Source organism: Homo sapiens, chromosome 15, assembly GCF_000001405.40.
Source record: "Homo sapiens chromosome 15, GRCh38.p14 Primary Assembly".
In the NCBI taxonomy this organism is placed as follows: domain Eukaryota; kingdom Metazoa; phylum Chordata; class Mammalia; order Primates; family Hominidae; genus Homo; species Homo sapiens.
This window is the reverse complement of record NC_000015.10, coordinates 45508303-45530689: the sequence shown is the minus strand read 5'-3', so window position 1 is coordinate 45530689 and position 22387 is coordinate 45508303. Positions and strand designations below refer to the sequence as shown.

Sequence of the window (22387 nt, the reverse complement as noted above, 5' to 3'; positions counted from 1 at the left end):
ACAGGCTTCTGCTATTGCCTAAATCTGCATATTACGAGTTGCCTGGTTGAGAGACTAGCTAAATGGTTGGCAGCCTTTTCCATCTGCCATGCAAGAAGTTATTCAGGCTGGGCTTGGTGGCTCGTGCCTGTAATCCCAGCACTTGGGAGGCTGAGACAGGAGGATCACTTCAGCCCAGGAGTTCAAGACCAGCCTGGGCAACATAGTGAGACCTGCCCCTCCACCCTGTCTCACTAAAATAAAAAATAAATAAATTCTTCAGACTAGAAAAACGTATGAAGTCTCTTAAAAAAGAATGGCATACTGAGCAATAGCTAGCAAACAGAATTGCAGGCAGTACCGAGATTATAAGTGTGCACTGTTTCAAAAGTTCATTTGTCTATTATTATAAACTCCGAGTGCGTAGAAATAAGGTTGCAAATTGTAGTTACATTCCAAGCCTATTTGCAGAAGTCTATGTATTTAGCCCATTTTGAAGCTCAGTGATAGAAATCATGCCACTAGTCTGAGGGCAGGCTGAGGAATAAGAGCCCATGTGATAAAGGAATAAGAAAAGTGTCTTTCCTGGTATGCAGGAAAACTGATACATAACATATTAGTTATCTATTGCTGTGTAACGAAGTATCCCAAAACTTGCCATCTTAAAACAAACATTTCTTATCTCATGCAGTCTCTGTGGGTCATCTGAGAATGGCTTAGCTGGGTGGTTCTGGCTCTGGATTTCTCCAGGTTTTAGTTAGCACTGCCCAGTCTATAGTTATCTGAAGGCTTAGCTGGGACTACAGGGTCCACTTCCAAAATGGTTCACTCACATGGCTGTTGGCAAGAGGCCTCAGTTCCTCATCACACACGCCTTTCCACAGGGCCACTTGAGTTCCTCATGACACAGTAGCTGGCTCCTCCTAGTGCAAGCGATCCAAGTGTGAGGATGAGGAGGCAGCTGCAATACCTTTTATGACCTAGTCTTATAAGTCACACAGAGTCACTTCTGCCATATTCATTACAGGCCACATGCAACTCATTTAGTGCAGTCCACGCTCAATAGGAAGGAAATTAAGCTCCACCTCTTGATAAGTAGAGTATCACAGAATTTGTGGATATACTTTAAAATCACCATATAGAGTTTTTGTTGTCCTCCCATCACTTTCTCCAGGTACCCAGTGAGAAAAATAATAAAAACAAACTGGGAGGCAGAACTGCAGCCCTATTCAACAAAGCTTGCTGTAAGTACCCAAAACAATTCACGCTCTTTCCTTAACTTTTCTTAAAAACATTTATCCAATTTCTTTAAATGGAATCTTCTTTGAAGGATTTATACTAAAGAGAAAATGATCACACTCCTAAAATATTTTCTTTATCCGTTTGTATCTCTCATTAGTAGAATTTCAGACAGTATAACAAAGTGAAATTCAAAACAACTACAAAAAAACCTACTCCCAAACCCGGTGGATTAAAATATTTGGAGTTAGGAAAGCAACCCCCAGTAAGATCTCTCCTTTCAGCTGATTATTACCAGAGTGCCCTGGTTAACCAGGAAATAGTTTTCCCTTCCTGGTCTAGGGAACATGGAATCTCTGATCTAGGTTTCCTACCTTGATTCCCGTGGCTGCAGCTCTGTAGAAATATGATGGGCATTTAAATCCGAGGAGTCATATTTAAAGGAGTTGATTTCTTGCATCTGAGGCATACAAGATTCTAAAGTGCCATTTCAATCTTCAGAGGAAAATGACGTTTCATGTGACTTTTTATTGTATTTTTTGTAACTTGAAATTTGGTAATACATGGGGACTGTTATAAAAATACAACATTCATAAACACTGGATAGGCCGGGCGCGGTGGCTCACGCCTGTAATCCCAGCACTTTGGGAGGCCGAGGTGGGCGGATCACGAGGTCAGGAAATCGGGACCATCCTGGCTAACACGGTGAAACCGCGTCTCTACTAAAAATACAAAAAATTAGCTGGGCGTGGCGGCGTGCGCTTGTAGTCCCAGCTGCTGGGGAGGCTGAGGCAGGAGAATGGCGTGAACCCAGGAGGCGGAGCTTGCAGTGAGCTGAGATCGCGCCACTGCACTCCAGCCTGGGCAACAGAGTGAGACTCGGTCTCAAAAAAAAAACGCTGGATAAATAGGAGTTTGCCCTACAATTCAACTCAAGTAGAAGCTAGGGGCTGGACCTTTAAGATGAGCTCTCCTGACAATGTTGTTGTTTTTAACCTAATTTGAGTCAATCCAATTTGAGAATACGATGAAAGCTAAAAGACTTATCCCAGAAAATATACATGTCCTCAAAATTTTGCACATAAGTTTAAGGCCTCCCAAACTCCCTAAAACCCACTCAGAAAATCTAGATTAAGAATCTCTAAAACAGCCAGGTGTGGTAGCTCATGCCTGTAATCCCAGCACTTTGGGAGGCTGAAGTGGGTGGATCACTTGAGGCCAGGAGTTTGAGATCTGCCTGGCCAACATAGTGAAACCTCGTCTCTACTAAAAATAGAACAATTAGGCTGGGCGCGGTGGCTCACGCCTGTAATCCCAACACGTTGGGAGGCCGAGGCAGGTGGATCACCTGAGGTCAGGAGTTCGAGACCAGCCTGGCCAATATGAGGAAACACAGTCTCTACTAAAAATACAAAAAATTAACTGGGGGTGGTGGCAGGTGCCTGTAATCTCAGGTACCCAGGAGGCTGAGGCAGGAGAATTGCTTGAACCCTGGAGGCGGAGATTGCAGTGAGCAGAGATCGTACCACTGCACTCCAGCCTGGGCAACAAGAGCAAAACTCCATCTCAAAAAATAATAATAATAATAAATAATAACAATAAAAATAGAAAAATTAGCCAGGCATGGTGGTGCTTGTGTGTAATCACAGTTACTCGGGTGGCTGAGGCATGAGAATTGTTTGAACCAGGTAGGCAGAGGTTGCAGTGAGCCGAGATCACACTACTGCACTCCAGCCTGAGTGACAGAGCAAGACCCTGTCTCAAAGAAAAAAAAAAAACAAAACTGTAAGATTTTGCTAGGGGTGCATATTGCCATTCCATTGTGATATTATAATTTAGGTTTAAATCAGAAGCTACTACAGAATTTAAATATTGGCTGGGCATGGTGGCTCACACCTGTAATCCCAGCACTTACAGGAGGTTGAGGCAGGAGGATCACTTAAGCCCAGGAGTTCAAGGCCTGCCTGGGCAACATGGCAAAAAACCATCTCTACAAGGAAAAAAATACAAAAATTAGCCGGGCATGATGACAAGCACCTATGGTCCCAGCTAGTCAAAAGGCTGAGGCAGGAGGATAGATTAAGCCCAGGAGGTCAAGGCTGCAGTGAGCCGAGATCGCACCGCTGCGCTCCAGCCTTGGCAACAGAACGAGACCCTGTCTCAAAAAAACAAAAAACAAAAAAGCCACAATTATTTCTTCTTCCTCTTTTTTTGGTTTTGTTTTGTTTTGATTTTTAAAGATGGGGTCTCCCTCTATTACCCAGGCTGGAGTACACTGGCACAATCATAGCTCACTGCAACCGCCAATTCCTTGGAGGCTTTAAAAAAATTTTTTGGAGAGACGGGGTCTCAATATGTTGCCCATGCTGGTCTTAAACTTCTGACCTCAAGAGATCCTCTCCCCTTGGCTTCCCAAAGTGTTGAGATTACAGGTATGAGCTACTGCATCTGGCTGTTTTTTGTTTTTTTTGTGAAACAGACCCAATAGCCAAAAGGACACCTCTATAGGCACACCTTGTTTTATTGTGCTTCACTTTCTCGCACTTGTTAGATATTGCCAGTTTTGCAAATTGAAGGTTTATGGCAACCCTGTGTCAAGCAAATCTGTCGCCGTCATTTTTCCAATAGCCTGGGCTCACTTCATGTCTCTGTGTCACCTTTTGGTAATTCTCTTAATATTTCAAACCTTGTCATTATTATTATATCTGATATACTGATCTGTGATCAGTGATCTTTGATATTACTATTGTAATTATTTGGGGACATCACGAACCTTGTCCATATAAGATGACAAACTTAACTGATAAATGTTGTATATGTTTTGACTGCTCCATTGACCAGCCGTCCCCCTTCACTCTCCCTCTCCTTGGCCCTCCCTATTACGAGACACAATATTAAAATTGGGCCAGTTAATAACCCTACAATGACCTCTAAGTGTTTAAGTGAAAGGAAGAGTTGTATATCTCTCACTTTAAATCAAAAGCTAGAAATTATTAACCATAGTGAGAAAGGCATATGGAAAGCTGAGATAAGGATGGGCATGGTGGCTCACGCCTATAATCCTAACACTCTGGGAGGCTGAGGTGGGAGAATTGCCTGAGCCTGAGCAGTAGAGGTTTCAGTGAGCCATGATTGTGCCTGTGCACTCCAAAAAAAGGAAAGAAGGAAGGAAGGACGAAAAGAAGGAAGGAAGAAAGGAAGGAAGGAAGGAGGGAGGGAGGCAGGCAAGGAAGGAAGGAAGGGGAAAGGAGGAGGGAAGGGGAAGGAAGGAAGGGGAAAGGAGGGGGGAAGGGGAAGGAAGGAAGGGGAAAGGAGGGGGGAAGGGGAAGGAAGGAAGGGGAAAGGAGGGGGGAAGGGAAGGGAGGGAAGGGAAGGAAGGAAAGAAAAAAGAAAGAAAGCTGAGATAGGCTGAAAGCTATGCCTCTTCTTTTTTTTTTTTTTTTTTTGAGACGGAGTCTTGCTCTGTCGTCTAGGCTGGAGTGTAATGGTGCGAGGCTCACTGCAACCTCCGCTTCCCAGCTTCAAGCGATTCTCCTGCCTCAGCCTCCCAAGCAGCTGGGAGCTACTCGGCACATGCCACCACACCCAGCTAATTTTTGTATTTTTAGTAGAGACAGGGTTGTCTCTACTATGGTAGAGGTCCACCATGTTGACCAGGCTGGTGTCGAACTCCTGACCTCAGGTGATCCGCCTGCCTCAGGCTTCCAAAGTGTTGGGATTACAGGCGTGAGCCACCATGCCCTGCACTATGCCTTTTCTTACCCAGGTTGTGAATGCAAATGAAAAGTTCTTTTTTATTGTTTGGGTTTGTTTGTTTGTTTGTATTAAACTTTTATCACTTGACTCTGGGAAATGGGAAGGTTCTTGAAGGAAATTAGAAATACCCAGACCAGCCTGGGCAACATAGTGAGACCCTGTCTCTATTTAAAAATAAATAAATTAAATAATTTTTTTAACAAAAAAGAAAAGTTTGAAGCTAGCAGAGGTCGGTTCATGAGATTTAAGGAAAAAAGCAATCTCCATAACATAAAAGTGCAAGAAGCAGCAGCAAATGCTGATGGAGAAACTGCAACAAGTTGTCCACAAGGTGTAGCTAAGATCATTAAAGGTGACTACAATAAACAACAGATTTTCAATACAGGGGAAACAGCCTTCTATTGGAAGATTCCACCTAGGGCTTTCATAGTTAGACAGAAGTTGATGCCTGGCTTCAAAGCTTCAAAGGACAATCTTACTCTCTTGTTAGAGGCTAATGCAGCCCGTAGCTTTAAGTTAAGGCCAATGCTCATTTACCATTCCGAAAATTCTAGGGCCCGTAGGAATTATTCTAAATCTACTCTACCTGTGCTCTATAAATGGAACAAAACCTGGGTGACTGGCCGGGCGCGGTGGCTCATGCCTGTAATCCCAGCATTTTGGAAGGTCGACCCAGGTGGATCACCTGAGGTCGGGAGTTCGAGACTAGTCTGGCCAACATGGTGAAACCCCATCTCTACTAAAGATACGAAATTAGCCAGGCGTGGTGGCACATGCCTGTAATCCCAGCTACTTGGGAGGCTGAGGGAGGAGAATAGTTTGAAATCGGGAGGCAGAGGTTACGGTGAGCCGATATCGCGCCATTGCACTCCAGCCTGGGCAACAAGAGTGAAACACCATCTAAAAATAAAAATAAATGAATAAAAAAGAAGAAATACCTTTCATAAGGCTATAGCTGCCATTGATTCCTCTGATGGACCTAGGTAAAGTAAATTGAAAAACTTCTGGAGAGGATTCAGCATTCCAGATGCCATTAAGAACATTCGTGATTCATGGGAGGTCAAAATATCAATATTAACAGGATTTTGGAAGAAGTGGATTCTAACCCTAATGGATGATTTTGAGGGATTCAAGACTTCAATGGAGGAAGTAACTGTAGATGTGGTGGAAATAGCAAGAGAACTAGAAGTGGAACCTGAAGATGTGACTGAATTGCTGCAATCTCATAAAATTTGAACAGATGAGGAGTTGCTTCTTATAGATAAGCAGAGAGAGTGGTTTCTTGAGATAGAATCTACTCCTTGTGAAGATGCTGTGAACACTGTTGAAATGGCAACAAAGGATTTGAATATTCCATAAACTTAGTTGATAAAGCAGAGGCAGGGTTTGAGAAAACTGGATTGACTCCAATTTTGAAAGGTCCACTGTGGGTAAAATATTATCAACCAGCATCACACGCCATCAAGAACTCTTTCATGAAAACAAGTCAATCAATATAGCAAATGTCATTGTTGTCTTATTTTAAGGAATTGCCACAGCCACCCCAACCTTCAGCAGCCACCATCCAGATCAGTCAGCAGCCATTAACAAGGAGCAAAGACCCTCCAACTAGCAAAGAATATGACTTGCTAAAGGCCTAGATGATTGATAGCTTTTTTTTTTTTTGAGACCGAGTTTTGCTCTTCTTGCCCAGGCTGGAGTGTAATGGCGTGATCTCGGCTCACCACAACCTTCGCCACCCGGGTTCAAGCGATTCTCCTGCCTCAGCCTCCCTAGTAGCTGGGATTACAGGCATGCGCCACCATGCCCAGCTAATTTTGTATTTTTAGTAGAGACAGGGTTTCTCCATTTTGGTCAGGCTGGTCTTGAACTCCCCATCTCAGGTGATCCGCCCGCCTCGGCTTCCCAAAGGGCCGGTATTACAGGCGTGAGCCACCACGCCCAGCTGATAGCATTTTTTTAGCAGTCATGTATTTTATTTACTTGTTTATTTTTAGAGACAAGGTCTCACTCTGTCGCCAGGCAGGGGTGCGGAGGCACAATCATAGCTCACTGTAATCTCGAACCTCTGGGCTCATGCGACCCTCCTTCCTCAGAGCAATTAACAAATGTATATATACTTTTTCCTTCCTCTCTCCCAATATTTTAAATTAAGGTATGCACATTGTTTTAGACATAACGCTATTACACGCTTAATAGACTACATTATAAACATGATTGTATTTGCACTGGGACATGAAACATTTGTGAGACCTCACTTTGTCATATTGCGGTGGTCTGGAACCAAATTCGCAGTATCTCCAAGGTATGCCTGTACTAGATTTTCTATGCTTGAGTTTAGTCCATATCGTAAATACCTTGGAGGCAAAAGGAACACGGCAGAGAGCACAAAGAGGACAATACATATTTGCTGAAAAACAGTAGGACACAGAACTGCTGACGACGACAGCCTTGCCCTCTCCAGTTGACTGCAGCAAATGTTGCCAATTTGCCAGAGACAAGCAATTCGAGGAGAGAAAAGCTGCTTGCCTTTTCAGTTAGCAAGAAAAGTGCTGGGTTTGTCTTCTGCCGAGCACCCGCAACCCAGATCCCGACCCGAGATTCCTGAGACACACTTTCGGTGGAGGGAACTCCTAGCAGCAACGCCCAGCCCCCGGCGTGACCCTCCGACCGCACTTGCCTCCCAGCCTGGGAAGGTGGAAGAGGCCGCCCAAAGTCCCCTCAGTTGGCCAGTGAGTGACCCCTGGGCGGAGGCGGCGCAGTGGCCCCCAATCCAGCCTCGGGGCGAGAGGCGGGGCGCGCCGCGCGCCCCCGCCCATCGCGGGCGCCCCAGCCCTGCGCGCCAGGCCTGCGTGTCCTCGCGCCGACCCCTCCCTCGCGCGCCTCGCCCGGCGCACGCGCGTGGCCTCGCGCAGGGCGGGGAGAGGCGGTGGCTGTGGGCGTCCGGCCCCGAACCTGTCAGACCTGGGGAGCCGGCCTCCAGCAGCGGGCGCGGCGGGCGCGAGCACGACCCCACTCTCCTGCGGCCGCGGGTGGAGCAGCGCGAGCCCGCCTCGCTGAGCCGGCCGGGGGCGGGGAGATGAGTTGCGGCCCCGCGGCAGCGCCCCAGGTATTAAATAGATGTGCCGCCCCCTCGCGGAGCCCCGGCGGAGCGTCGGGGTCGGCCCTGCGACCCGCCGCCAGCGGCTTCGGAACTTGAGGACAGGGTTGGGCGCCTTTAATTTATAACGTGTTTCGTTTTCCACAGGATGGGGAGGGACGCGCGGCACTGCCCTCGAGAACTGGCGCTCCGGTGAAGTAGGCGCCGCCGGCCGTCCGCCTCCCCCAAGCCGTTCCGCACCGCGGCCGCTCAGCCTCTGCCATGGCCGGCTCTGGCGCGTGGAAGCGCCTCAAATCTATGCTAAGGAAGGATGATGCGCCGCTGTTTTTAAATGACACCAGCGCCTTTGACTTCTCGGATGAGGCGGGGGACGAGGGGCTTTCTCGGTTCAACAAACTTCGAGTTGTGGTGGCCGATGACGGTTCCGAAGCCCCGGAAAGGCCTGTTAACGGGGCGCACCCGACCCTCCAGGCCGACGATGATTCCTTACTGGACCAAGACTTACCTTTGACCAACAGTCAGCTGAGTTTGAAGGTGGACTCCTGTGACAACTGCAGCAAACAGAGAGAGATACTGAAGCAGAGAAAGGTGAAAGCCAGGTTGACCATTGCTGCCGTTCTGTACTTGCTTTTCATGATTGGAGAACTTGTAGGTGAGTTGTGTTGCCAACTCACTTTCCGTTTACCTTTCCTCGAGAGTCTTTGTCAAGCTGTAGTTACACAGGCTTTGAGGTTTAACCCATCTTTTCAGGAAGTTTGTATTTATCAAGACACTGATCTCATGTGAAAAGGCCACACGGTTCCAAAGTGCAGCTCAATCTAAGTACAATATAAACTCCCCGAGATAACTTTGACTTTCTCTTCTAGTTGTTCAACCACTGTCATCTACCGTAAAGTTAAGGACGTTATCTTCATTGTATGTCATGTAACTTCCTCTTTTTACAAAGGTCTGGTAAAATACCAGGTTAATTTTCGCAACGTTTAAAATAGTAAATGATCGTAAATAACTTAAGATCATAGAATTTTACAGTATGAAGGGACCTTACTGAACACCTGCTCCACCTCCTTTTTTTTTTTACATGTAAGGATTTCCAGGGCACAAACCAGTGGAATAAGTCGTGAGGGCCACTTAGGGAGTTAATGGAAGAGCCACATCTACAGTCCCAGCATTTTTTTCCTCTACATTTGACCTAAGTGGTTTCTTTTATACGATTTCCTTTTGTATTTATAGCCAAGAGATTTGCAAAATTAATTACCAACTAACATGAAATTTTTGCCTCGTAAGAAGGGCCTGAAATGAACCAGAGGACTCCGCCAAAGTTCTATGAGCCTGGTTTTCTTGTTCATTTTTTAATTATACGAACAATCCGTTCTCAATATAAGATACATTCTTAGTTTAGAGGTTATTTTCAATCACGTCAGTATAACTACTAACTTCTCAGTGACAGTTTACAAAGTGACATAAAAGCAGGGAGATGATTCTTACATGTCATCTCTTAAATGATGAACCATGACAAAAACAGGTGGCAGTCCAGATTTAAGATGTTTGACTGGAGGGTTCTATGTGGGAAAAATTATATACATTTCCTACCTTCTTTCATAACACTCCTCCCCAGGGCTCGCTTCAGCCATGCTGGTCTTCTTTTTCCTCTTACAACTCACAAAGCTCTTTTTGCCTCTAAGGCGTTCAAAGTGGCTGGTCCTTCTATCTCAGTGGCTTTCAAACATTTTTTGACCTCACTGTAGTAAGAAATACACTTCACATTGTGACTCATTTAGGCATGCATGCATACATATGTATGAGAATATACACAGGTCACATGTGTATAAATATATGTATAACTGAAACAAAAGTTTTCCTTCATGTGATGTATCCTAATAGTTTCTTCAATTGTGGTCCCAGCTCACTAAATGGATTTCGTGTGTCCACTGCAGTAGGTCAGGGCCTTAGCTTGAAAAACACTGCTTTACATAGACTGCCTTTCCCAAATCTTTTCTTGGCCAGTTTCTTGTCATTCGTGTCTTATTTAAAAAGACACCCCGGCCGGGTGCAGTGGCTCACGCCTTTAATCCCAGCACTTTGGGAGGCCGAGGTGGGTGGATCACCTGAGGTCAGGAGTTTGAGACCACCCTGGCCAACATGGTGAAACCTTGTCTCTACTAAAAACAAAATACAAAAATTAGCCGGACGTTGTGGTGGGCGCCTGTAATCCCAGCTACTTGGGAGGCTAAAGCAGGAGAATCGCTTGAACCCGGGAGGCGGAAGTTGTGGTGAGCCGAGATTGCGCCACTGCACTCCAGCCTGGGCAACAGGGTGAGAATCCGTCTCAAAAAAAAATAAGTAAATAAAATAATAAATAAATAAATAAGTAATAAAAATTAAAAAAACCCACACTTTTGAGAGACCTTTTCTGACTGACTAAAGTAAATCTCTTTTGTTCCCTGTTCCCTCTCCAACTTTCAAAGTCCTCAGCATCTGAGATATCTTATTTATTTACTCATTTAATATTACCTGTTTCCACTGAAATACAGGCTGAATTCCTAGCACCTAGAACAGTGACTGGCACAAAGTAGATACTCAATAAACTTGTTGAATTAATTCATTTTTATTCTGTTAGATAATTATAAATGCTTGAGCTGTAAAGAAATTAAAAGACAGGAGACAACCTGTGCCCCAGATAAAGCACCATGGTCTCAGCAGACTGAGATTCGGTGACTTGCCCAAACTAACACAACTAGAATATTGAGTCATTCAGGTTTAATGATTTTTGAAGTTAACGTTGAATATTTGAAGTTAAAATAACAATCACAGCATCCCCCCTTAAAATGATTAATAATTCAGAGTTTATTTCACCTAAGTAAAAATCATTAAGATATAATTGTCTTGACTTCTCACTTCTGAAATCTGTTATTTGGTAAATGTTGTTTTATGAAAGCCACAATAAGTATTTCCTTTCAAATACTGACTTTATTGTCAAATGTGGAAATATTTTGTTAAACAATACAGAGATGATAGTAGTACTTAGGGTAAGCATTAACAATATTATTCAAAATGTTATATAGAGTTCAACTGTATACAATAGAGCATTTATTAAAGTGTGTCCAAAGCGCTTATAAATAAAGCATCTTCGAGGCAGGCGGCTCACTTGAGGTTAGGAGGAAAGCAGACTGGCCAACATGGTGAAACCCCGTCTCTACTGAAAATACAAAAAAATTAGCCAGGCGTCATGGCGCACCTGTAGTCCCAGCTACTGGGGAGGCTGAGACACGAGAATCGCTTGAACCTGGGAGGTGGAGGTTGCAGTGAGCCAAGATTGCACCACTGCACTCCAGCCTGGGTGACAGAGTGGGACTCTGTCTCAAAAAAAGAAAGAAAGAAAGAGAAATAAAGCATCTTATGTAGGAAGTATGGAGAAATAAAAAATGAAGCAATTTGGCCAGGCACGGTGGCTCACACCTGTAATCCTAGCACTTCTGGGAGGCCAAGGCGGGTGGATCACTTGAGGTCAGGAGTTTGAGAGCAGCCTGGCCAACATGGTGAAACCCCATCTCTACTAAAAATACAAAAATTAGCCAGAAATCGCTTTAACCCAGGAGGCAGAGGTTGCAGTGAGCTGAGATCATGCCACTGCACTCCAGCCAGGGCAACAGAGTGAGACTACATTAAATAAAATATATTTTTAAAAAATGAAGCAATTTGGCCAGGTGTAGGAAGTATCTTATGTAGGAAGTATGGAGTAATAAAAAATGAAGCAATTTGGCTGGGTGCAGTGGCTCATGCCTATAATCCCAGCACGTTGGGAGCCTGAGGATCGCTTGAGCTCAGGAGTTCAAGACCAGCCTGGCAACATGATGAAACCCCCTCTCTACCAAAAAAAACCAAAAACTTAGCCTGACTTGGTAGTGCGTGTCTGTGGTCCTAGCTCCTCTGGAGGCTGAAGTGGCAGGATCGGTTGAGCCCAGGGGGTGGAGGTTGCAGTGAGCTGAGATCCGGCTGCTGTACTCCACCCCAGGTGACAGAGTGAGACTCTCTCAAAAAGAAGGGAAAAAAAATGAAGTAACTAAATGAGCTGAGATAGACTTGGTTGGCTTTACCACTTACCTTGCTCTGAGACCTTCGTAAAGGTCCATTCTTTTCTCTTCTCTTTGGAAGTGTATTTTGAGTACTTACACTATGTGCCAGGCACTGTGCTACATGTTCTGAATGTACAATGGAGAACGAAACTATTATGATCCCTACTATGTGGAGAATTTAATGGAAGAGACAATCATTAAACACGTAAGTAAATTTAAAATTTAGATGGTCCTAAGTACTAGGAAGAAAAAGAACAAGGTACTATAAGACATAGTAACCAGTAGGACATAGTTTATGCATGGACCAGGTACATTTAAGCCAAAAAAAAAAGAATAGTAGGAGTTACCCAAACAGAGTGAGGGAGTTTTCCAAGAGAAGAGAACAGCATGTACCAAGGTCCTAAAGCCTTCAATTCTTCGAAAGGAATTAGAAAGAAGGCCAGTTTGGCTTCAATGTGTAACCATGAGGGAAAGAGGCAGGAGGAAGAGATCAGGCAGGCCCTGGTAGGCCATGTTAGATGAGTGTAGTTTTTATTTTAAGTGCAATGGAAAGCCAGATAAGGGTTTTTTTTGTTTTTGTTTTTGTTTTTATTTTGAGACGGAGTCTCGCTCTTTCGCCCAGCCTGGAGTGCAGTGGTGTGATCTCGGCTCACTGCAAGCTCTGCCTCCCGGGTTCGTGCCATTCTCCTGCCTCAGCCTCCTGAGTAGCTGGGACTACAGGCGCCCCCCACCGCGCCTAGCTAATATTTTGTATTTTTAGTAGAGACGGGGTTTCACCGTGTTAGCCAGGATGGTCTCAATCTCCTGACCTCGTGATCTGTCCGCCTCGGCCTCCCAAAGTGCTGGGATTACAGGCGTGAGCCACCGCGCCTGGCCAACCAGATAAGGTTTTAAGCAGGAGAGTAACAAGATGGGATTTACCTTTTTGAAAGATTACTCTGCTGTTATGTGAAGAATGGATCGGGAGTTCGAGACCAGCCTGACCAATATGGCGAAACCCCGTCTCTACTGAAAATACAAAATTAGCCAGGCATGGTGGCACGTGCCTGTAATCCCAGCTACTCGGGAGGCCGAGGCAAAAGAATCACTTGAACCTAGGAGGCGGAGGTTGTGGTGAGCCGAGATCACGCTGTTGCACTCCAGCCTGGGCAACAAGAGCAAAACTCCATCTCAAAAAAAAAAAAAAAAAAAAAAAAAGAATGGATTGGAGGGTATATTCTTGGAAGCAAGAATATGAGTCTGTGGTTAGAAGAGAGGTCAAGGTAGAGAGAGATGAGTGTATATAATGCCGTAGGAATAGGTAAAATTACCTAGAGAGCCCAAGTCTCTAGGAACTCCAACTTTAGAAGTCAGGCAGAGGGAAAAAGGTGTTCCAAATTTTTTTTTTTTAAAAAAGAGAGTATTTCAAAGTGGAAATAAATAGGTTGAAACTGTTGAGAGGTCTAATTAGATGAGAACTAAAACATCCTTTGGATTTGGTAACAGAGTTACAACTGCATTTTTATTGAAAATGAAAATGCTTAATTGAGAGTGTATATAAACTTCTAGGTAAAGATGGCAAATTGAACTCATGCATCTAATTTTGCTTGTTCCTGATGCCTCTCTTATACGATAAACAGATTTTTTTTAATGGAGTCTCGCTCTGTCACCCAGGCTGGAGTGCACCATCTCAGCTCACTGCAGCCTCTGCCTCCTGGGTTCAAGTGATTCTCCTGCCTCAGCCTCCTGAGTAGCAGCCTCCACCTCCCGGATTCAAGTGATTCTCCTGCCTCAGCCTCCCAAGTAGCTGGGACTACAGGTGCACACCATCACGCCCAGCTACTTTTTAGTATTTTTAGTAGAGACGGAGTTTCAACATGTTGGCCAGGCTGGTCTTGAACTCGTGACCTCAAGTGATCCGCCCACCTCGGCCTCCCAAAGTGCTGGGATTACAGGCGTGAGCCACCATACCTGGCCTCTTATACAATAAAGAGATTTTTTTAAAAAAAGATATAAATTCACACATATGAGGAAAACTGGAGAGGAAAAGATAGCAACAAAAATTTTGGAAACTGGAAAGGAAACAGATAAAGAACTAACTGACTTAGTAGACCCAAGAAAGCAAACACCTAAGCCAGCAGTGGGGAAGGCTGAGAACCATCACAGTTTATACTACAGCAGTGATTCTGAAGCTTTAGTGTGCATCAGAATCATATAGAGAACTTGTTAAAACACAAAATCCCAGGGGATGCTAACACTACTGATCCAGGGACCATATTTTAGAACTACTGCACTAGAAAATCCTAAGTAAGCTCCAGATTGGTTGTACCAGGTACCTCTGGAAGTGTGGGTGAAGAAGGCAGCTAAAATAAGGAAAGCTAGTTAAACCTATTTAAAAGCCAGTCAGATATAATAGTAAAATTGTATAATTAGTATACTCAGAGATAAAAGATCACGTATCCATGAAGCAAGAACAGACTACTTTAAAATAGAAATTCAGGGTGGGCGCAGTAGCTCATGCCTGTAGTCCTAGCACTTTGGGAGGCTGAGGCAGGAGGAACAAACACTTCAGCTCAGAAGTTCAAGACCAGCCTGGTCAAGGTGGCAAGACCCTGTCTCTACAAAAAAAAGAAACAAAGAAAGAAAAATAGTAGGGCATGGTGGTGCTTACCTGTGGTCCCAGCTACTTAGGAGGCTAAGGTGGGAGGATCACTTGAGGACAAGAAGTTGAGGCTGCAGTGAGCCAAGTGTTTGTGCAATTGCTCTCCAGCCTGGGTGACAGAGTGAGACTCTATCTCAAAGAAAAAAAAAAAAGAAAAGAAATTCAGGGTAACGAAAAAAGCTTCTGCACAATAAAAACATAGTTGAAATTTCTATTATTTATTATTTATTTATTTATTTATTTATTTTTGAGATGGAGTCTTGCACTGTCGCCCAGGCTGGAGTGCAGTGGCGCCATCTCGGCTCACTGCAAGCTCCACCTCCCAGGTTCATGCCATTTTCCTGCCTCAGTCTCCCAAGTAGCTGGGACTACAGGCACCCACCACTACGCCTGCTATTTTTTTGTATTTTTGGTAGAGACGGGCTTTCACCGTGTTAACCAGGATGGTCTCCATCTCCTGACCTCGTGATCCACCCGCCTCGGCCTCCCAAAGTGCTGGGATTACAGGTGTGAGCCACCACGCCCGGCCGAAATTTCTTTTAAACTCCATAGAAAAGTTAGAAGATAAATTAAGGGCTGGGTGCAGTGGCTCATGCCTGAAATCACAGCACTTTGGGAGGCTGAGGTGGGAAGATCACATGAGCCCAGGAATTCAAGATCAGCCTGGGCAGTATAGTGAGAGCTTATCTTCACTAAAAATTGAAGAAAAAAAAAAAGCCAAGCACGGTGTCATGCTCCTGTAGTCCCAGCAACTTAGGAGGCTAAGGCAGGAGGATTGCCTGAGTCCAAGAATTCAAGACCAGCCTGGACAACATAGTGACACCTTGTCTCTAATAAAAATTAAAAAAAAAAAAATTAGCAAGGTGTGGTGGCACATGCCTGTAGTCCCAGCTACAAAGGAGGCTGAGGTGGAAGGATTGCTTAAGACCAGGAGGTCCAGGCCACAGTGAGCCACAGTTGTGCCACTGCACTGCAGCCTGGACAACAGAGCAAGACCCTACCTCAAAAAAAGATGAATTAAGGTACTCTCTCACAGAGTTGAGCAAAAAGATGTATAATTGGAGAGAAAGGGCAAAAACAATTTAGAGGCCAGGCACGGTGGCTCATGCCTGTAATCCTAGCACTTTGGGACGCCAAGGCGGGCAGATCACCTGAGGTTAGGGGTTCGAGACCAGCCTGGCCAACATGATGATACACCATCTCTACTAAAAATATAAAAATTAGCCGGGCGTGGTGGCGCATGCCTGCAATCCCAGCTACTCGGGAGGCTGAGGCAGGAGAATTGCTTGAACCCAGAAGGCGGAGGTTGCAGTGAGCTGAGATTGCACCACTGTACTCCAACCTGGGTGACAGAGTGAGACTCTGTCTCAAAAAAAAAAAAAAAAAAAAAATTGGAATATCAATCTAAACTCCAAATAACAGGAAGGAGTTTGAGAAAGAAAGCAAAGGCTACGAAATCATCAACACTATAGTTTATGGTTTAGGAAGTTTTCCCATAGCTGGAGGATACACATTTCTATAATTTTTTTTTTTTTTTTTTGAGACAGAGTTCCACTCTTGTTGCCCAGGCTGGAGTACAATGGCGCAATCTCAGCTCACCACAACCTCCACCTCCCCGTAACCTCCGCCTCCTGGGTTCAAGTAATTCTTCTACCTCAGCACCCGAGTAGCTGGGATTACAGGCATGTGCCACCATGCCCAACTAATTTTGTATTTTTAGTAGAGACAGGGTTTTTCCATATTGGTCAGGCTGGTCTCGAACTCCCGACCTCAGGTGATCTGCCCGCCTCAGCCTCCCAAAATGCTGGGATTACAGGTGTGAGCCACTGTGCCTGGCCACACATTTCTAGATTGAAAGAGCAAATTGGGGGAAAAGAGATCCATTCCAGGGTAGACATTGTGAAATTTTCTGAACACAGAGAACACATCATTGCCTACCTCAGGAAGCCGCAGTGTTAGTTGCCTCTGATTTTTGACAAGCATGGGAAGATGGGGGCTGTTCATACAGGGCAAGCTTCAAGTGTCCAGTCAAATAAAAACATCCTTGCACGTCCTTTAGGGAACTACCAGCAGGTCAAATAATGACAGTTCTCTGGGAATGGGGCATTGAAGGAGATCCAAACTCATTTTGTATCCTCCAGTGGCTGCCAACCTGAGGTTTTCACTGTGATTGTGGCCTGTTGGTTTTCAAGGCTACCATACAGCTGGAGGACAACAAATGGGTACAGCGCAAATTAAAACACCATGAAGATAACTGTTCTTGCTGATATTCAGCTATTTTTCTTGAATAAGTGCTATGTGTATAAGCTTTTGGCTAATTTCCAAAGTTCTGAAAAAGCTGATTTTGACTATTTTTGTCCATGTTTTCATTCTTTTTGTGAAGATGATTTTCAGAGGTCCTTACTTTTTTTTTTTGGCTGATGTCACCAACATGTAGCTTTTTAAGTTTAGGTTAATTAAAAGTAAATAATTAAGCCTAGGCAACATAGCAAGACCTCATCTCCTGAAAAAAAAAAAAAGATAAAAAGATTAGCTGAGCATGGTGGTACATGCCTGTAGTCCCAGCTACTCAGGAGGCTGAGATGGGAGGATTACATGAACACAGGAGGTTGAGGCTGCAGTGAGTTATGATCACATCACTGCATTCCTGCCTGGGTGGCAGAGCAAGACCCTGACTCTCTAAAAAAAAAAAAAAAAAAAGTTTAATTAATTAAATTCCTTAGTTTCACTAACCATTTTTCTTTTTCTTTCTTATTTATTTTTTGGTAGAGATGGGGTTTCACCATGTTGCCCAGTCTGGTCTCAAACTCCTGAGCTCAGGTGATCCGCCTGCCTCAGCCTCCCAAAGTGTTGGGATTACAGGCGTGAGCCACTGCACCTGGCCCCATTTTTCTTTTTTTTTTTTAGTCAATGTCTCACTCTTGTCACCCAAGTTGGAGTGAACTGGTGCCATTATATAAAGCTTACTGCAGCCTCAGACTCTTACACTCAAGCAGTTCTCCCACCTCGGCCTCCCAAACAGCTGGTATTACAGGCATAAGCCACTGTGCCCCAACCTTACTAGCCATTTTTTAAATGCTGAAAAGCCACATGTGACTAGTGGCTACACCATTGGACAGCTCAGATACAGAACATTTCTATCATCTCAAAGTTCTATTGGACAGAATTGCTTTAAGGAATTATCCTCATTATAAAATGATAAGTATGCTAAAGCTCAAAAAAATTAACTCATTCAGACTTTCTGAGATTCCAAAACTTCATGTTGTTTAACACCAACCTTCTCTTGGTGCTTTCCAGCTTTTTCATGCCGGGGAATACATAAAAATGCTATTTGTATAGAGCACTCTGGGGTAAATGGATGTGACTAAAAGATCATCAGCCCCTAGTCTCCTGCTCTTGTCTCTACACACCCAGCTCAGGAATGAGGAGGATCAACAGCTCAGCACACTTACCTGATCATGCAGTTCTGCTGTACATTATAACAGTGATTCTCGAAGTGTGGTTCCAAGACTTGAAGCATCAGCATTACCTGGGAGCATGTTAGCAATATACATTCTCAGGTCCCATCCCCATCACCATCCCAGACCTACCGAATCAGAAATTCTGGGAGTAGAGTTAAGCAGTTTGTAGTTTAACAAGCCCTCCAGGTGATTCTGATACACATAAAAGCTTATTCAGTGAATAGTGCTAGGAAAATTGGTTGTCCATTATGGGACAATACAGACACACAATGAAACAATGTATAATATATATATTAAATGCCTGGAAAATCGATAACAAAAATTGTATCCTAAATACTACCTTTTGTACCCCTCTTCAGAGATGTTGCTAAGTGAATCAGTTAATTTTTACATATTTTATATCGAACTAATGTACATTTTGTAGGTTTTCTCAGTTTAATTTTATGTTCCAACGCCCCTCAACAAGTGAACACCCTTCTTTTCTTCAGCTTTGTTGTAATATTTAGATATGGTTATTAATTCACTAATAGTAGAATTAGTAAGTTAAGCAAAAGCTTCAGTACCAAGACACAAAATCACTATATATTTGCCTTGTGGTTCTTAACTTTCTAAAGGTCATTGACTCCTTGCAGCATGTGTTACTAGAAATGGATATTCTGGCTGGACACATTGGCTTACGCCTATAATCCCAACACTTGCAAGGCCGAGGCGAGTGGATCAGTTGAGGTCAGGAGTTTGAGACCAGCCTGGCCAACATGGTGAAACCCTGTCTCTACTAAAAATACAAAAATTAGCCGGGCGTGGTGGCACGTGCCTGTAGTCCCAGCTACTCGGGAGGCTGAGGCAGAAGAATCACTTGAACCCAGAAGGCAGAGGTTGCAGTGAGCTGAGATTGCACCACTGCACTCCAGCCTGGGCAACAGAGTGAGACTCTGTCTCAAAAAAAAAAGAAAAAAAGAAGTGGATATTCTCACCAGAAAAATGAACCTATATCTAATATTTTGAATGAAATTTCAGAATACCTTGATTTAATTGTAATGGGATAAAGATTTAGTTAGAAGTTCATGTTTTGTAGGATATTGCATATTTCTAGTTTGATTGCTTGCTTTTTTAAAAAATTAACTTGTTCCTTTTTTCTCCTACTTGTAACTCTAAGGTGGATACATTGCAAATAGCCTAGCAATCATGACAGATGCACTTCATATGTTAACTGACCTAAGCGCCATCATACTCACCCTGCTTGCTTTGTGGCTATCATCAAAATCACCAACCAAAAGATTCACCTTTGGATTTCATCGCTTAGGTAGGTAGTTGGTGTTTCTTTTGCTTTATAATATTTTATAGTAAAACCACAATGAACTATAACCCTGATTAACTGAACTCGTTCCAGTGATATCTTGTTTGAACAAAGCAAATGAAAATAGATAAACAAAATTTATTCAGAAACATCTTTTCCAGGGTACATTTAGCCTAGTCAGCTAAACAGTTTACACATATAAAATTATATGATGATCATTAATCTTCAAAGGTTGCTCCCTATGTCCTGAAGATATCATCAGAAAAAAGTTTACTTTCAGTTTATTGAACAAAGCAAAACCACATGGGTTTAACCCGTTAATGAGCATTAGCTTCTCTCTTTTACTTCAGGTATTTCAGCCAAAGCTACCATAGCTTAGATTTTAAGCAGAGCTATCACAGGTATAATGTATGCTGTGTGGCTGAACTTGACTGCAGCCATCGTATCAACATAATTCTGCAAATGCACACATTTTTATTTGCCTGTTTTGAACAAATTTTAATGTTTAATTATAAAGAGTTAAAATCATACATTGCTATCTACACAGCTCTGCTTCTTACTGTATTACTGTTTTTAAATTTTTTGCTTATTTTGAAAATATGTATAAAATAATTACCTGAACTATTATATGAAGTAACATTTACCCAGATGTCAGACTCAAAAGTAGAACCCAAAAGTTGACATTTAAGTAGCTTCAGCAAAACTTGCCTCAAAGAACTAGAGTTAATATCTGATAATTTCATTTTGTAGGAACACTGATGCTCCTGGCTAATATATCAATCAATTCCTCATCATCTTTTTTATTTTTTAGCCTAAAAAAACTTAGACTGTAGATTTTTTGTTTGTTTCTTTACCTATATTTTCTTTGTATTTGTTTTTTGTTTTTTGCTTTTAAGACAGAGTCTTGCTCTGTTGCCCAGGCTGGAGTGCAGTAAACTTTTTGTTTCTTTACGTACATTTTCTTTGAATTTATTTCTCGTTTTTGCTTTTAAGACAGAGTCTTATTCTGTTGCCCAGGCTGGAGTGCAGTGGTGTGATCTTCTTGCACTGTTGCCCAGGCTGGAGTGCAGTGGTGTGATCTTCTTGCGCTGTTGCCCAGGCTGGAGTGCAGTGGTGTGATCTCAGCTCACTACAACCTCCACCTTCCAGGCTCAAGTGATCCTTCCACCTCAGCCTCCCGAGTAGCTGGGACTATAGGCGTGCACTAGCATGCTCAGCTAATTTTTGTGATTTTTGTAGAGACAGGGCCTACCTACAAGGGGGTCATCCTTTGCCCAGGCTGATGTCAAACTCCTGTGCTCAAGCCATCCTCCTACCTTGGCCTCCCAGAGTGCTGGGATTACAGGTGTGAGCTGCCATGACTGGCCCACAGCATCCAGGACCTCTTACTTAGTGACTGGGTCTTCTGGTGCAAAACTTGACACTGTACCTAAATGGTGATATTCCAAGTAGCTATCCAGGTCATCAGGTTGGAAAATTATCTAGCATCCCCACCCCTCCGTACTCTCAGCTACTGTACAAAAGAGCTAAAGCCCCAAGTGAAGTTTTTCTTTTGTTAAGCTACTGCATAATGCATGTGAATGTGTTCCTGGCCAGGCACGGTGGCTCACGTCTGTAATCCCAGCACTTTGGGAGGCCGAGGTGGGCGGATCACCTGAGATCAGGAGTTCAAGACCAGCCTAGCCAACATGGTGAAACCCCATATCTACTAAAAATACAGAAATTAGCTGGGCATGGTGGTGCACGCCTGTAATCCCAGCTACTCAGGAAGCTGAGGCAGAAGAACTGCTTGAACCCGGGAGGCGGAGGTTGTAGTGAGCCTAGATCATGCTGCTGCACTCCATTCTGGGCGGCAGAGTAAGACTCTTGTCTCTCTCAAAAAAAAAAAAAAAAAAGAATGTGTTCCTAAAGGAAACTCCACTGCTTCTCAACATATTATATAGTCATTTGTTTACTGGTTGCCTTAGGATTTTTAAACAGCTTCAAAATTATTTTTAAACATTAATTTTTTTGAGATTTAAACACCTGCAGTTAAGATCTAAGATGTAAACATATCATCATGGAATGGGAATTTTTTTAACACTGCTTGAGAGAGTACATTTATATAGTCCTGTGGTTCTTAAACTCTTTTAGGTTATAAACCCTTTGGAATTCTGATGAAAGCAGTGAAACACTCCCTCAGAAACATGCAATAACAGAACACAGAAGATGCTACACATATAAGTTAAGAACCCATAATAATGAAACTTCTATTAAATATTAAAGAAGTACTTAGTGTTTGTTCTACATAGTCACTTTGCTTCTTCATAAATAAATACTATGTAAAAATAAGAGACAATAGAACTGACCGGTCCTATTGTGTCTCTGGAATTTTCTATAGAAAGTCAAATCTTTCCCTTTCCTTAAAAGTACTAAGTTCCAAGAAGGTAGACCAGACAGCACCATTTGATTCCTGTCTCTCTGAGAGTCCATTAAGATAAAAACATAGAGGTACCAAAACACCAAAGAGAATTACATGATTGGGTTACCAGTAAACACATTTCCAGAAATTTTTGGAAGTTGTAAAGTACATATGAGTGGGTTGAAGGAGAAAACAAGCCAAGAAGCAATGTGTAGAACATACTCTGAACTAGGAACTGGACCAGCCCAACAGATCTTAAGGCTTAGGGACAGAGATGAGCAGAAATGAGAATTGGGGCTGAAAACGGAAGATTAATTGAATAAGTGGGAAGCCGTTCCCAGTGGTCACTATGCCCCTACCTCCCTTCTTACTCCTACCTCTACTCAGGCAGCCTACACTTTCCGCCAAGTAAAACACCACATAGTTCTTCTAGAAAGAAA

At 43.5% G+C, this 22387-nt stretch overlaps 1 protein-coding gene and 1 pseudogene across 6 annotated transcripts in view, besides 1 other annotated feature; one reads left to right on the top strand and one right to left on the bottom strand.

The window, feature by feature from the left end:
- Positions 1-19554, bottom strand: part of HMGN2P46 (high mobility group nucleosomal binding domain 2 pseudogene 46) — a 45595-nt pseudogene extending 26041 nt beyond the window's left edge. Inside the window, exons 1-3 of the transcript NR_022014.1 lie at positions 19485-19554; positions 16727-16992; positions 14798-14917 (exon numbers count right to left, since the gene is read on the bottom strand). The product of NR_022014.1 is annotated as a high mobility group nucleosomal binding domain 2 pseudogene 46 (transcript). The remainder of the gene's footprint in view (positions 1-14797; positions 14918-16726; positions 16993-19484) is intronic.
- Positions 7743-8232: a silencer, noted in NCBI's record as "silent region_6410". NCBI's record gives its function as "represses an Ori minimal core promoter by ATAC-STARR-seq in GM12878 lymphoblastoid cells {active_cell/tissue: GM12878}" and the evidence as "EXISTENCE:reporter gene assay evidence [ECO:0000049][PMID:35858748]".
- Positions 7935-22387, top strand: part of SLC30A4 (solute carrier family 30 member 4) — a 43150-nt gene continuing 28697 nt past the window's right edge. For 2 of the 5 annotated variants that reach the window (NM_013309.6, NM_001321036.2), the window contains exons 1-3: positions 7935-8083; positions 8222-8726; positions 19406-19552. In NM_013309.6, the coding sequence (NP_037441.2) occupies positions 8336-8726; positions 19406-19552 (538 nt within the window). In that variant the 5' untranslated portion in view covers positions 7935-8083; positions 8222-8335. Of the gene's footprint in view, positions 8727-19405; positions 19553-21679; positions 21833-22387 lie in introns of those variants that run through there. The other 3 variants (XM_017022560.3, XM_047433023.1, XM_017022561.2) reach the window with 2 other exon arrangements.